Source organism: Homo sapiens, chromosome 3, assembly GCF_000001405.40.
Source record: "Homo sapiens chromosome 3, GRCh38.p14 Primary Assembly".
Taxonomy (NCBI): domain Eukaryota; kingdom Metazoa; phylum Chordata; class Mammalia; order Primates; family Hominidae; genus Homo; species Homo sapiens.
Window position 1 is genome coordinate 64,800,746 of NC_000003.12, and position 15,556 is coordinate 64,816,301.

A 15,556-nucleotide genomic window follows, 5' to 3' on the forward strand; every position below is an offset into this window, starting at 1 on the left:
GCTGAATAGCTTCTGCTTAATTTTCAAAGTGTTTAATGTAAGAAAGCGGTATAGTCCAGGCGCAGTGGCTCAACACCTGTAGTCCCAGCACTCTGGGAGGCGGAGGCGGTGGATCACTTGAGCCCAGGAGTTTGAGACCAGCCTGGGTAACATGATAAAACCTTGTCTCCATAAAAAATACAAAAATTAGCTGGAAATGGTAGTGTGCGCTTGTAGTCCCAGCTACTCAGGAGGCTGTGGTGGGAGGATTGCTTAAGCCCAGGAGCTAGAGCCTATAGTGAGCCATGATTGTGCCACCGCACTCCAGCATGGGTGACAGAGTGAGATCCTGTCTCAGAAAAAAAAAAAAAACAAAAAAAAAAAAACCCAGAAACAACAACAACAAAACGGCAGTATATTTGTCCCCACCCTCATCTCTTCCTTTATGGGTATTTCCCTAATTGTGAGAGATTACCTGTGTTTTAAAAGGTGGCTTACTGTATGCATTGAGAAAATTAAATGACATTTCAGACCAGTTCCAAGTACCTTTTGCAAAGCTAGAGAAATAAAAGTGAATTCTAGTATCTCAATCACAGAGTAAAACTAGAGAAGGTCTGTTGGGCTTCAGGCAACATTGGTGTTCTTGGCAATTTTACCCAGAAGAATTTATATTCCTATAATTAGTATTTCCTCCAAAATTAATGATCGCCTGATTGATTTATTTCTTTCCTAGCAGCACTGGAGGTCCCACTTACCTAGTTAGTAATAACATTTGCTCTTAATACATGAGTCAGTTTTCTTTTTTCCTTTTTTCTTTTTCTTTTTTTTTTTACATTTCCAAAACAGAATACCCTGCAGGAAGAATGGGATGGCAGTGGAGGAGCTCTCACTCACATATCATGTAATGTGGGAGGCAGGGCTATGCGATAGTCATAAAGGGTGCAGGCTTCAGAATCAAAGGAGTGAGGTTGGTGTCCCTGCTTACGCCCTACTAGCTGAGTGTCCTTCAGGTCATTTCTCCTCTCTCAGACTCAGTGGACTGTTTCCTAAAGCACAGCTCATAACAGGCTGTACGTGGTAAGACCGTCGGGAAGATGGAAGGAGATCAGTCATCCCTAGAGAGCATTAAGCACAGTCTCAGCCACAAAACACTTCCTCAAACATGATGCAAGCCACACAGGGCATTTGGCCTGCGTATAAAGGACATACTGAGGACAGTGTAGATGCTCAAGAAATTAGTCCTGAATGATCAAGGGGGGAAAGAGAGGGTTAATCTTATCATATGTGGGCTCTCAGAGAACACAGAGCTATAGAAGGAAGCTGACTTAATAAGGGTCAAGCATGATAGGGGAGATTAGGAACCGTGTGCAATCTAATGGAACCACAGATAACACCTTCTAGTACTTTTTCCCTTTGGCCCTGCCCCTGCTGAGACAGGGCCACTGCTAATAACTCACATTCTTCTCTTCTCTCCTCTCAAAAAGCCCATTTCCTGAGCAAGTATATGCTTTGGTAAGGTCATTAGCGGTCAACATGGTTCCCAAGTTTAGTGAATACTTTCAGATAAAACTGAAGGGTACAAAATCACTCTTTCCTCTCTCCCTCTCCTTGTCCTACCTCTCACAATAAAACGACTTATCTACTAATTACAAAGACCTCAATAGTGGAAGAAATCCATATCCTACATAACATGGAGAGCTAGCTATATACCCTTGGCATCAGTTTTTATCCTACTTTTACTTTTTACTGACTTTCATTTACTGAACAAAGCCTCCTTTGCCAAAGGCAGGGTAAATAAACTCAGTCACATCCTGTCTTCCTTACATCTTTGTTTATCCATAAACTGTCGAAGATACAGATGAAAATCCACTAAAGCATGCTTGAAGCGGTTACACGAAGGCCAAATAAGATGGGAATGGAAATGCCTGATGTTAAGGGAAGATACTACCTAAAATGATACTGAGCTGGCCAGTGTAATGACATGAAAACAAAACAAAAAAAAGATAAACAAAAGATGACTAACTGCTACAGTTAGGAATGGACTCATTTGTGTAAAGAAGCAGTAATGCAAAAGACATTAACAGCAATATAAGAAAGTGTCTGTATAGTTAGTGGGAAGAAGATAAAGCTTAGCGATTAAGAGCACAGACGGGAATGAGAGTAGATTTCAAACCTGGCTCCACCTTTTGCCTTTTTACCTTTAACTGGACAACTCAGTTAACCACGCCAAACCTCAATTTCCACATGTGTAACATGGGATAAATTAATACCTTTCTCAGAGTATTGTTTTTTGAAGATTTGATAACATAAAACCTATAAAAAGTACTTAGTGTTTGGCTTCAGGTAGATTTTCATTGAGAGTTAGCTCTTATCTTTAGTATGTTAGTAAGGATCTTGAGGGGTATAGAGCATACAGTACTATGCAAAATTTACCTCCATAAAACCTGGTTTTTTCCTTCAGAACACCCTGGGAGGTTACGGTTCTGCTAAAAACAGTCTGGGAAATGCTGCTTTAAATAAACAGAAGACTTTGGGGGAAAGGGGCTGTCTTGAATAGAAAATTAGAAGTTTGACAGTGGTGCTTGTGGCTACTCCTGTAACTTCGGGGCATGAGTTTTGGGGACAGGATTGATTGCGGCATCAGTACAGTCGTCATTTCTGTGGAGAATCAGATTATGTAGATATCATTGCCACTTAACAGCAGCTTTTCCGGGACCCAACTAAAACAAAGACTCCTTGCCCAAGTTGGTCGCAAACTTTGCAAAGGAAACTCTTCTTTTTTGACCCGTATCCAGGTGTGAGACAAAATAGCAAATGTAAGAATCTATGTTTGGTCATTTCTGCTTTCCAGCATAATTTCACAAAGCCCTTAACTCTGACAACATGCAGCTCTCCGGAGGGACGCTCTGAAGACAAAACCCACACACCCGCAATGTCTCTTGCCTGAGTCACTATACTCTTTAAGAAGTAAAGGGCCCTAGTCCTTGCCTTTTTTTCCACTCGAGATAACATGGCCGAGTTAGTAATTACTCTTCTGTAATCTCTACCCAGATGTCTTCTCACCCCCAAACCTTGCCGTGATTTTGCACGTACTGAATATTCACCACCTATATGTAAACTGTGAATTGAAATACTGCCCTATTATGAACTGAATTAATACCCAGGCTCAGTCTATAGTCCTTGTAAGACTTCTGAATATAGCTAACTCTAATTCTTTCAAAGCTTGACTTTTTTCTTTAGTCTACAGGCAGCAGGCCTCTGTCTTCTCTACCCTACTGCTGGATCAGAATTTCCCCTTGTGTCCCATGAACATAGAATCCATCACCTGCTCTTTGGGGAGGTACTATGAGCCTGGGAGAAGCATTTTGAGCCTCTCTGGGGAAGAATAAGCTGCATGCAAGGTTATAGGTATTTTATGATCTGTTATAGACGGATAATTCAAGGTGCAGGCTCACAGCTTGATTTGTTTTTGTTTTTGTTTTTGTTTTTTAAAGGAAGGTAGCTTAGCAGTGAAACTCATTTTCCACAACTCCCAAAGTGGTATTGCAATAAATCTGTGAATTTAATCAGCCTCCTCTGTTGAGGCAATCTCTTCTAATTGGGTTCTTGTGAGGGATAATAGACATGATGACAAAAATACTTCATCTCTGGAAAGGAAGCCAGAGTCTCATCAATAATCTTGATAATAAAGATCCCATCCTCCAGAGAAATGGAGAACAGGCCTCCAGTGCAAACCACAGCACCATGCTCACCCTGTGTTAGGGAATATTTACCTTTTAGGTGATGATTCTGTCTCCCTGCTTCCTGCTTAACAGCAGGAAAATTAAAACCTTGCAACGTAACTATCTCCAGGACAATATTGGCCAAGTAACTCCGCAGACTACTAAGTGGGTTTCTAGAAGTATTCCAGAAGATTGCAATGGAGTCATGGGGAACTGCATTATGAAGAAAACAAAGCTGGAACACAGAATCCAAACTTCATGATTTTGTTTTCTTTCCCTGTCTCTGGCAGGTGATTCCCACTCTCCTCTGTCACTCCTGGCAGTTATGGTGGGGCTTAGAGGGGTCCCTGTCTGGAATGTAACACACACTTCTGATGGCTGTCACCTGGCACAGCAACCCAGTGGATACAGGGAGTACTGGAGCTAGATGCCACCTGCTCCTCAATTATTGGACAAATATGACCTCCAGACCTGGTTTTGTCTGTCCTAGGTGGATGGGGTGGGGAGAGAGAAATAGAGAGCATCCTTGGAGGCTGACCTTTCCAAGTTGCTCATCCCATTTAAAGGGTTTGGAGAACAATGGCAGATGCATCCTAAGTTTTTCTATGGAAAATGAGAGAAGCAAAGCAAGGTAATTGAATTAGAAGCAGGGAAAAAAAGAATTTCACAAGGCTGTCATCTGTCCCAGTCCCACCCAACATAGCCTGACATTCCTCTACCCTCTTCATTCTCTGCACGAAAACATTCTCGACACATCCCCTCATCCCTCATGGCCGGGCACTGATGGTCAACAGATCACTTTGGTGATGAACACAGGAACTCACCTATGGTCAGCACCCTCAGGGCCAAAAATGGAGGAAGAACTGTGAAAAATGCCATCTTCCCTGCAAAAAGTGCCACAAACACTCACCAGTTCAACAAAGAGCTAGTGTGTTTCAACTCCTTAGCCTCAGGCCTCACTAGCCTGTGAATAGGGGCACTGATGGGGCAGAGATGCGATAAAATCCCAGCTTCCCTTGTTTCAGTCCCAAGTTGTGGTTTTTCCGTTTCCTCCCACTGGACAGCTTCAGTATGAATTGCTCCCAAAACCAACAGTAAAATTTAACCTCCACTCCTTGCAGGAAAAGAAGATCCTCATCTCTTTGGGGAATTTGCTTTTGGTGCAAGTCTTGCTGACCTTGGCATGCCTCTCATACACACAAAAGCTGTGGGGCTTTCCAGAGGATGCTCTCATATACACCACAGGCTCCCAACAAAGTGGATCCCTGGACAAGAAGCATCAGCTGCACCTGAGAAGTCATTAGAAATGCAAATTCTCAGTCTCACACAGCCCTACTAAATCCGAACCCTAAGAGATTTGGCCCAGCAACCTGTGTTTATAACAAGCCTCCAAGCGATTCCAGTGCACTCTTAGTTTAACACTGATACACGCTGATCATTTCTCCAGTGTGCCTCACACTTTCTTTCTTGTGTATTTGGTCTTTCTGTTCTTTCCATTCAGCATCCTTCCTCCTTCTGTAACTGACCGACTCCTGTTCAGTCTTTAAAGCCTTCCAAAAAACACCCTCCTATTTGTAAGCCTCCTCTGACACCATCCTCTCCACTTAAGCAGAATTAACTGCCCCTTTATTTCTCCTCTGACAATACTTTGGGCATCCATTGATACATTATGTTATAATCATCATGTATGTATCTGTTTTCCATACGAGGCTGAGAGGGTGAGAAAATACCTGATTCAGCAAATATTTTATACAAAATATCACAGGCCTACCATTGGGTTAATTCTGGTGATGCCAAAATAGAATAATAAACTCTGATTAAAAAGTGGGACAGTGCCGTATTTGCCTAATTCATCATTGCATGCCAAGTGAGATTTCAAATCCCTGGCTTAAAGCCTCCCCCACTGACATATACTAGCTGTGTAACCTTGGGCAAATTATTGAACCTCTTCAAATCTCACGCATCGCAGGGAAATGCTAATAACATTTACCTCCATGTTTCATCATCATCATCATCATCGCATCCTTAGCAACTTGTATTGTGCCTGATACAGAGAACATGGGTATAAGTGTAAAAACTTTTTTAAAAGGTCAGAGTTCTGGACAGATATACTATAATTCTTGTAGAACTTGACACTCACCCTATGCAAACCTGACTTTACATAAAATGTTTCATAAAACATGCAAAAAGACACAGACAACTTTCGTATTGCCTCACTAATTTGCCCAGTAAGAGGGTGATCAATATTGAGAATGCTGCCTGAGTTATTTCGTGGTTGTATTAGGTCTGTTCACTCCCCCATCCACTCTCACCACCTTTAAACTATGACTCTGGTTTGCAAACTTGGTTTCACACGAGAATCACCTGGGAAGCTTTAAAAACAAATCCTGATGCCTGTGTCTTGCCCTGAAAGAGTCAGATATATTAATAATTAACACGGGGAATGGCTTGGGCATGGGATCCCCAGGTGACTCCAATGTCCAGCTGTAGGTTTAAACCACTGGGTTAGAAAACCTACAGGAAGACTAAACTGTGGCTCAGGATGAAAAGTTATGTAAATCAACAGGTCTTGCTATTTTTGATAAAATTAAAGTATGATGAGCCTGCTGGCGGTGGTGTGATCATACTAAAACAACTGAAGTGTTCACAGAAATGTTTTAACTAGTGTAACATTCCAGATGGTTAGGACTTCTGGAATAGAATGATGCCAAAGTCAGCCAGCCTCTATAATAGCCTGTGGATGATTCTTGTAGCTGCTAAACTACCCTTAACTTTCCATTTTGTTTTTCAGTCCACATAGCTCACCCCTCTTGCCCTCACCAGGCAAACCAACTTCATTCATCAACAATGCACCACAGGACTGTAGGAGGATTCCCTTCCTGTCAGCTTAGACTTTTAGTTTCTGAAACACCACTGTCTGTAGAAGCAAGGCTGACAGACATCTTGAGACTGGTATTCTCTCTTGGCTACAATTTAGAGATTGTCTGTGATGACTGGCGCCAAGAACTCCATGGATTAAGCCTCCTTTTCTGGCTCCCCATCAATCTTTCCAAGTGTTTCCCTCTTCTTGACCTTGTTTCTCTGATAAAGCAGACTGAGTATGATGGCAAGGAGGTGGCTTATTGGGACGGGGCCCCAGTACCACTGGAGCAAGACTCAAAGCTTTGACTCTGAGCTACAGTCATCCTCTTCTTGAACTCTGGTTAGGACCAATAATGATATGTCTGGCTACCAGAAAAGAGAGTTTATTTCAATAGTAATTATGTAGGAGAGGCAACCCTGGCTTTTAAAATGTGAATAATGCTCAAATTACTGGGGAGATATTGAGGAAAAAATTAAATAATAAACAAGCCTAAGGTAGACTTTAAACACTACTTCAAGAACAACAGCTACTTTGATAGTCAAGTTTTTTAAGTCATACTTGCAGATAAGTACTAGCTCGAAGTTTCTTCTTTTCTTTTTCTGCTTTTCCTGTGCTCCTCCCCTATTTCTTCTTTTCTTTTCCAATCAGCATTTTCAGGGGCAAGGAAAATACATCACGGTACCCTCAGCAGAGAAGTGAAAAGGGGAGAGGAAGGACCACCAACCCTCCTTGAGAGTTGCCTGCATGCCAGGTGCATTGTGTCACAGAATCTCCTTTAATCCATACAAAACCCCATGTAGGGATATTATATACCTATTTTTTTTAATGAGGAAAACCTGGCTCAGATTATAAAATACAATTTTGCTAAGGAAGCATAGCTAGCAAGAATGACAGCCAGGATTCAAATTATGAGGTGTGTGATTCCAAAGTCCAATTTCTTTACATTACACTGAGGTGGCTTGTAACTGCCCTCTTCCAACCAATCAGTGATACTCTGTTTGATGTGTCTACAGATGGGGCAAAGGCCCCTTGGTCCCCTTGGCTCACCTGCTTAGACTAGACCATCAGGACAGCTCTGATTTCAGTTTGGGTCTCTATCTTGTGCCCTAACTCCCATCATCATCTTCTCAACAAATGTCTATGCCTGTGACCCTGGGAGAATGAGAACGCATGTAAAAAGCTATGGGTGGGAGCTCCATGACCACAGGGGAACACCCACATAGGAGTTGATTCTGTGGAGCCTAATTCTGTAGATTCAGCAGCTTCTTTATTTCTCAAAGCAGGTATTCCCCACATCTGTAGGAGATGGAAGGGAGAGAATCAGAGAAAGAAGAGTCCCAGGCAAGCAAGAAGCTGCGGGAGAATATGCAGCAATAAATTCAAGTGCCATTTGCTCTTCACCAACTCTCCGGCTCAGGTCTTACCAAGCCAACGCAGTGATGGGAGGGAGCACCCAATCCAGTGAAGTGTTTTGCTTCTGGCCAGGCACATTTCTACCCTATGGAGGAGAGGACATTGCAGCAAAGGGAATTTTGAAGTCAGGCCCCAAAGATTATATAAGATAGAACACAGGAAAATGAACCATTCTTCAGAACCCTTGAAGTTCTTGTATATTATTATCCAATGATAGATATGCTTTACCATTCACACATGGGAATAAATCCTAAAAATAATAACCTTTTCATTAGAAAGCTAGACTATAATTTTTCCAGGGGTCAAATGGATAACATGCATATTTTTATAAATCTCTTTGGGCTGTTGAAGCACTGGTTTGGTGTTATAATAGCAGAAGGGGTTTTGCTGTATTTTTCTCTCTTCTTTCTGAGGTTGTGGTGGACAAACAGGAATTCAAATTTTGCAACTCTAAAATGACACCCCTACTTCATGGTTGGGGGCTGTTTTTCCAGTATCAGGCACAGATGGTGTTTCTGTCTCCTCCAGAGAATATTTTTGGATGTAAAGTTTCTGAAATAAATTATTCAACTGAGGCCAAAATAGTCTCTGGAAAATAATCATATGTGAATAGAAAATAAGAGCAGCCTGGCCGGGGCTGAGAAAAAAATGCAGCTGGTTTTTAGAAATGGTAATGTTTGTACTAATATTTGTATTAGGAATAGAATGAGACCCGGAATTTTGGAAGTGAGTGCTGTTTTACTCAGAAAATTTGGTGATTATCTTCTCTTTTCTTTTCCTTTCTCCCTCTCTCTCATTCTCTTAAGATTAGTGAAGAGCAGTCAAGGGTTAGTACTTCTGAAACTCTAATGACCATATGAATTACCTCTGGATTTTGTTAAAATGCACACTTTGACTCCATATGTCTATAGATTCTGCATTTCCAACAAGCTTCTGGGTTAGGGTACTGTTACTGGTCTGCAGATCACTTTGAGTGACAAGTGCTGGAGGAAGTTCAGATAAATTATATAATGGAGTAAAGCTATGCTTTGCCAATCTAGTAAATTAATTATTTTATTTTTTCCTTTAATAGGTATTTATTGAAACCTGCTTTGTGCTGGGCAATGTGCCAGATGTTGGGGATAAAATGGTGAGCAGACAGATCCTGTGCCTGTCTTTATTGAGCTTGGAGCCTAGTATGTATGACAAACTTTAATCAAATAATCATATATTGAAATATTGCAGCTGTAGTAAATCTAATGAAGAAGGGGTACAGGTGCTATGAGATCTTAAAATAGGTGCCTTCATTAGAAGGCTGGAAAAGGTTTCCCTGAGGAAGGGTATTGAGCTATGAAGATAAGAACAGTAGTCATTATTATCATCATAGTGAGCAGCTAGCCATGATTTGAACATTTCCTTTGGGCCAGTACTAGGTATACATCTGTCCATTATCTCATTTAATTCTCACAGCAACCTCCTAAGGTAGGTGCTGTTGTTATCCAATGTTACGGTGGAGAGACCTGAGGCTCAGAGAGTTTGCACAAGGTCACACAGCTAGCACACAGCAAATTCATTACCCAAACACAGAACCATTTAACTGCTTCAAGTTATCATCCAGGACTTTAACCAGAAAGACTGCTGAATCAACTGTATCAGCTTCTTAGCTCCTTGTTTTAACAGCAGCCATATTGGGAACTGTTCTGCTCCTGCTGGTGTGATGTAGCAGTGAAGGCTCTGGGCAGGAATGAGGAAACATGACTTTGGGCCCTAGTTTTGCCAGTAACTTGCCTGGGGTTTGGACAGTGGTCATGACGGTGACCACTTTTCAAGCACTTTCTGTCTACCACATACTTTGCTAAGGCTTAACAAATGATTATTTTGCAAGATCAGAGTTATATATTAATATCTGCATTTTACTGGTGGGACAATGAAACTTGGAGAAGGTTAAGTGGCAAAATTCGTAAGAGGTAGGGCATGGGTTTGAGAGGTTGTTTAGTGTAGTGCAACAGTTCTCGAAGTGTAGTCTGCAGGCCTTTTCAGGGGGCAGGTCATCAAAACTATTCTCATACTAACACTAAGATGTTATTTACCTTTTTAAAATTGTGTTGACATTTGTAATGACGACTCAAAAGCAATGGTGAGTAAAGATGTCAATCTTTAGCAAAATAATTTTTTATTAGTGATGTTAATTGTGTAAGTCGAAGTAGCTTTTTCCCTAGGTATAAGAGTTTTTATTTTTATTTTATTTTATTTTTTTTTGGTTTTTTTTTTTTGAGACAGGATCTCACTGTCACCCAGGTTGGAGTGCAGTGGTGCAATCTTGGCTCACTGCAACCTCCACCTCCCAGGCTCAGGAGATCCTCCCACCTCTCAGACTACCGAGTAGCTGGGACTACAGGTGCACACCACCACATCTGGCTAATTTGCTTTTGCATTTTTTTGTAGAGACAGGGTTTCTTCATGTTGCCTAGGTTGATCTCTAACTCCTGGGCTCCAGTGATCCTCTAGCCTTGGCCTCCCAAAGTGCTGAGATTACAGGTAGGAGTCGCCAGGCCCAGCCAAGGATTTCTTATAAATACACTCACACAGATAAAGTTTCAGAAGATAAAAACATAACTGCAACTGGAAACAAATGCCTGGAAATATGTGATAGATCAATTATCATAAAGGCCTCTGGGATGACACCCCAGAAGTAATTGTTGCCAATAATATCATGAGAGCTTTCAAGCAAAAATTAGAACTTTGGAAACCTTGGATCTGCTGCTATGAGCTTGTCAGCTTCCTAGTTCTTGATGTCCTTTTAAAATGAGAGTAGTGTTGACATTAACAGACTGGTTTAAAAAAATTGGTGGTGGGCCGGGGGGTGAAGATCTGTAAAGCTCAGTGAACCAAGAGCTTCCAAATGTCCATTGTATAATGTTTAAAAATCATGCATGGGTAAAAGAACTGCTGAAAATATAAAATGGACCCATGGATTTTGGGTATGGAAAGTTCATTGATATGGTTTTAGATTCCACATTACAACTAACCTTTATGAAATATCACTTTTCAAGTTTTGTGTACTATTAAAGAAGAACAGCTACAATGATCTAAAAAAGCTACTAAACAGTTCCCCTCTGTTCCAATTATGTCTCGAAGTTGGATCTTTTTCATCTACTTCAATCAAAACCACGTATCACAACAGACTGAAGGCAGAACAGATATGATCATCAAGCTGTCTTCTGTTAATCCAGATGTTAAATGTAAAACAGTGCTACTCTTTGTACTAAATGCTTTATTTTGGAAAATATCATTATTTCTCTTAAAAATGTGCTATTTATGTTAACATAGGAGTTTATTGTTATTTTTGAGTGAATAAAGCAATATTTTTAAATTTCTTAGTTTTAAGATTGAATACAGTAAATATTGATAGGTATAATACATATAAATAAAACTCTTTGGGGTCCTTAATACTTTTTAGGAGTGTAAGGGGTTCCTGAGAGCAAAATTTTGAGGATCCTACCTAGTGCATGAGAACATGGGCTCTGGAGCCAGGCCTGCCTGGGTATATCCTATTATCGCTGGGTTTTTTTTTTAATTTTATTTTACGTTTAGGGGTACATGTGCAGGTTTGTTATGTAGATAATAAACTCATGTCATGGGGATTTGTTGTACAGATTATTTTGTTACCCAGGTACGAAGCCTATTACCCAGTGGTTATTTTTTTTGCTCCTCTCCCTCCTCTCATCCTCCACCCTCAAGTAGGCCCCAGCATCTGTTGTTTCCTTCTTTCTATTCATGAGTTCTCATCATTTAGTTCCCACTTATAAGTGAGAACATGCAGTATTTGGTTTTCTGTTCCTGGGTTAGTTTGCTAAGGATAATGACCTCCAGCTCCATCCATCCCATGTTCCTGCAAAAGACATAATCTCATTCTTCTTTATGGCTGCATAGTAGTCCATGGTGTATGTGTACCATATTTTCTTCATACACTCTGTCATTGATGGGCATATAGGAAGAGATGTTGGACCTTGGGCAAATTATTCCCACTTTGTCTGCACTAGTTTTATAAGCAATATAGAAACAGTTCCTACATTCATTCTAGGGGTGTTATGAATGATAAACAGGTGGGCACAGATCCGTTAGCTCTTGTCTAATTTGTGAGTGAGTACTCTTTCCACTAGATTCACTTTTCCAAGCTTTGCTGTCCATATTTCTGAGGGTTTTTTTTTTTTTTTTTCTGAGACTTCAGCCCAGGCTGGAGTGCAGTGGCACAATCTTGGCTCACCGCTACCTCCAATTCCCAGGTTCAAACGATTCTCCAGCCTCAGCGTCCCAAGTAGCTGGGATTACAGGAATGCACCATCACACCCAGCTAATTTTTGTATTTTTAGTAGAGATGGGGTTTCACCACATTGGCCAGGCTCGTCTCAAATTTCTGACCTCAGGTGATCCACCCGCCTCGGCCTCCCAAAATGCTGGGATTACAGGTGTGAGCCACTGCGTACAGCCCATTTTTGAGATTTTTAAAAGCCTATTTACCTTAGCTATTACATGCTTCTGTAAATATATTCCCTCTGATTAAACAAATTTCAGATCAATATTCTAGCTAGAGATGATGCCAGTATAGAAAACTCTATTTAGCCTCTGAAAGGAGTGTACTTGCATTGTATGGACAAAGGAAGTTACTTTGAAATTATTCCTAGCTCTGCCATAGATTTGCTCTTTGGATTTGAACTTAGATACTTTTTAGAATTTGCTCACTCTGATCAAGTGTTTTGATTATGAACGTTAGCAGCAGGCATCCAGTTGCATTCAGCTTTCCAAGCAAATATTTACAGAGCCCCTTCTGTGCAATTGGCACGGTTCTAGGTGTGGGAATGAAACAGACAAAAGCAAACAACAGGAATGCATATTCTGGGTGTGTATATCATGGGAGAGACAAACAATGAATAAATAAGCAAAATATATAGTGCGTTGGCTGATAAGAAGGACAATGAAGAAAGACAAAGCAGGGAGAGTGGAGAAGGCCTGGGGTGTGAGTGTGGGCTGCAGTTTCCCTTCCCAGTCAGGAAATGCCTTACTACAGAGGTGATTTTGGAGTGAACCATGTGGATATCTGGGTGAGAGAATTCTAAGACCAGGGAATCGCATTTATAAAGACATAACCAGATTCTGCCCGGCGTGTTAGTGTGGTTGAGCTGAGTGGGCAAGGCAGGTGTAGAAGATGTGATCTAAGAGGTATGAAGTGCCACACTGCATCATACCGGCCTGGACACCCTGATTTGGAAGCCACTGGAGACTTTTGAGAAGTGACGTGATCAGAGGGATCCTGGTGATCAGTGTGGTAGCAGTGGAGATTGTGAGACATGGTCAGATTCTGGATCTATTCTGAAACTAGAACTACCAAGATTTGCTGATATATGGGATTTGGGGTTTGAGGAAAACAAGGAAGTCTAGGATTATTCTAAAGCCGGGGTAACTGGAGGGATGGAATTCCAAGAACCAAGGCCAGGAAGACTGAGGAAAGGGCAGGTTTCAGTGGAGGTATCAGGGAAGGGACCAGAGTTTAGATTTAAATGTGTTCATTCTGGGGTGCTTAATAGGCATCCAATTTTTTTCATACTCTCAAGGATGAACCAAATTAGTAAAAACAGCCAATTTACTGCTAGGAATTACTAAAAAAAAAAAAGTGGCTGCATTACTTTCTAGAAAAAGAAAGCCTGAAATCTTACATATAAGGATTCTTTTTTTTTTTTTGTGCATCATGTGGTGCTGTTCCAGAACTGAACACCCTATGCCAGGTGCGGTCTTATTAAAGTTCTGGAAGAAAAGACTATCTGTTCTGAGACACAATGCCTCTACTTGTGGAACTAAAAATAGCTCAGCTCTCAGTCCCCAGGGCACGCAGTTCTCTAAGTGTCCATCCATTACATGGCCACATTAGTTTGACAAGTTTTCAAGGCTCACCTGTCCACTACTCACACATCTGGGTTTTATATTTTAATTTTAATATTTTGCATGGCTCCTTCTGCCTTTGTCACAAATGTGACTTTCTCTACTTCATCCTTCCCTCTCACAGATGCTATTGTTGGGTATGGCTGCCTGATATATTGTTGTCATTAATAAGAAAAACAGCATTTCCCAATTTAGTATCATCTGTAGAATTCATTAACGTGTTGTTTGCACTTTTATCCAGATATTTTAAAAGGATGTCAAATAATACGGATAATCATCTTACAATTAAAGTAAGGGAAAGGTTATCTTTTTTTTGGAGGAGAAAAAGGGACATGTTTTCTGTTGTTTCCAATAGCTCATTTGCTCAGCAAACAGACAAGAAAAAGGGAGCAGGGACAGATTTTTTTTATAAGAATGTCAATTCATTCGTGGGTTGGGGAGAATTGTCCAGAAGCTTAACTGACATTCCTCTTCCACATCATCCCACATATAATTTTGAAACAAAGACAAGCAGGAAACGCAGATTTCATAACCTGAAATCTCTTTAGCTTCATCAAATGCCAAAAAGCAACTGCAATGGCAGAATAAAATACACTAATGTGTTTTGACACAATAATCGTGCCTGTTTCTCTTTAATGAGCCAGGCTGGGGATTTCCAACTTATAGAGGCAGAGAAAGGCTGTCAAACCAGCAGATGTGCCCCATACTTGCAAGGGGCATTTACTTAATGGGCCATCTGAATACTTGTCTACATGTCAGCGATGATGCAAACATGACATCTCTCAGCTTGAGAGTTGCTCTTGTGTGCAGACAACTTTGTGAAGTCATGGGATAGCACTTGGAAAGGAATTTTAAACTGGGAATACATTTCATAGCTCAGCTGCAAGACTGAAGACTGCAGGAAGGAATTCACTTTCAGCAACTATGTGAATTCATGGAGTAGGTCCATGCTATTTCAGTTCTGCACAGCTGGCCGACTGTGAAGCTTTATTTTTCTCTTCTTAGAGCTGAGTGACGTCTCTTTAATGGTTTTGGAATGACTGTTGCCAACTCTTTTTGATAATTTTTGTTTTGTTTCTCTCAACTGGGATATTTCTTCTCACCTGGGTGATTTCCCATCTTAAGAATTTTTCGGCTAATGTATGAGGGTTTTTTTTTTTTTTTTTCTTGATTGCCTGGAACAGACATCAACTTGTGTTAGCTCACTCACAAAATGAGGATCTAGTGTAAAGATGGAGAGATTGTGCAATGGAAGTGTAAGCAGAAATACAGCGAGGGCTCAGGAAATACTAGAATAGGCAACATGCTCTTCCTCTCTGCTTCTATCTGCACATCTGCTTTATTTCTTTGCCTCAGCAGACTCACCATCTCTGCTCCTCATCCCGCATGGTGGGGAAGGATGCCCACCCACAGCTCCCCAGGCCATCTGTTAGAGCTCCAACCACGTGGAATGACGGAATCCATTCTGTTCTCTATCTCTGCTCTAGTTTCAAATTCCTGGGGAAAAATGACCCAGCTCACTTCAGGCTCCCACTCTTGGTCCAGTGGGCTGCAAAATTTCCAAGCGTAGCTTCTGTCAGTTCCTTGCTTTGGGTTAGGTGAAAATGAAGGGAATAATTGTGAGCTGTTCAGATTCACCAAGAAATTATCTACTATTGTTGGG

The 15,556-nt window shown here is 41.0% G+C and overlaps 1 long non-coding RNA gene across 1 annotated transcript in view; it reads left to right on the forward strand.

Moving 5' to 3' along the window:
- ADAMTS9-AS2 (ADAMTS9 antisense RNA 2) overlaps positions 1–15,556 on the forward strand; it is a 326,599-nt gene that overhangs the window by 115,876 nt on the left and 195,167 nt on the right. Inside the window, exon 3 of the long non-coding RNA NR_038264.1 lies at positions 9,050–9,106. This is a non-coding gene — a long non-coding RNA (ADAMTS9 antisense RNA 2). The remainder of the gene's footprint in view (positions 1–9,049; positions 9,107–15,556) is intronic.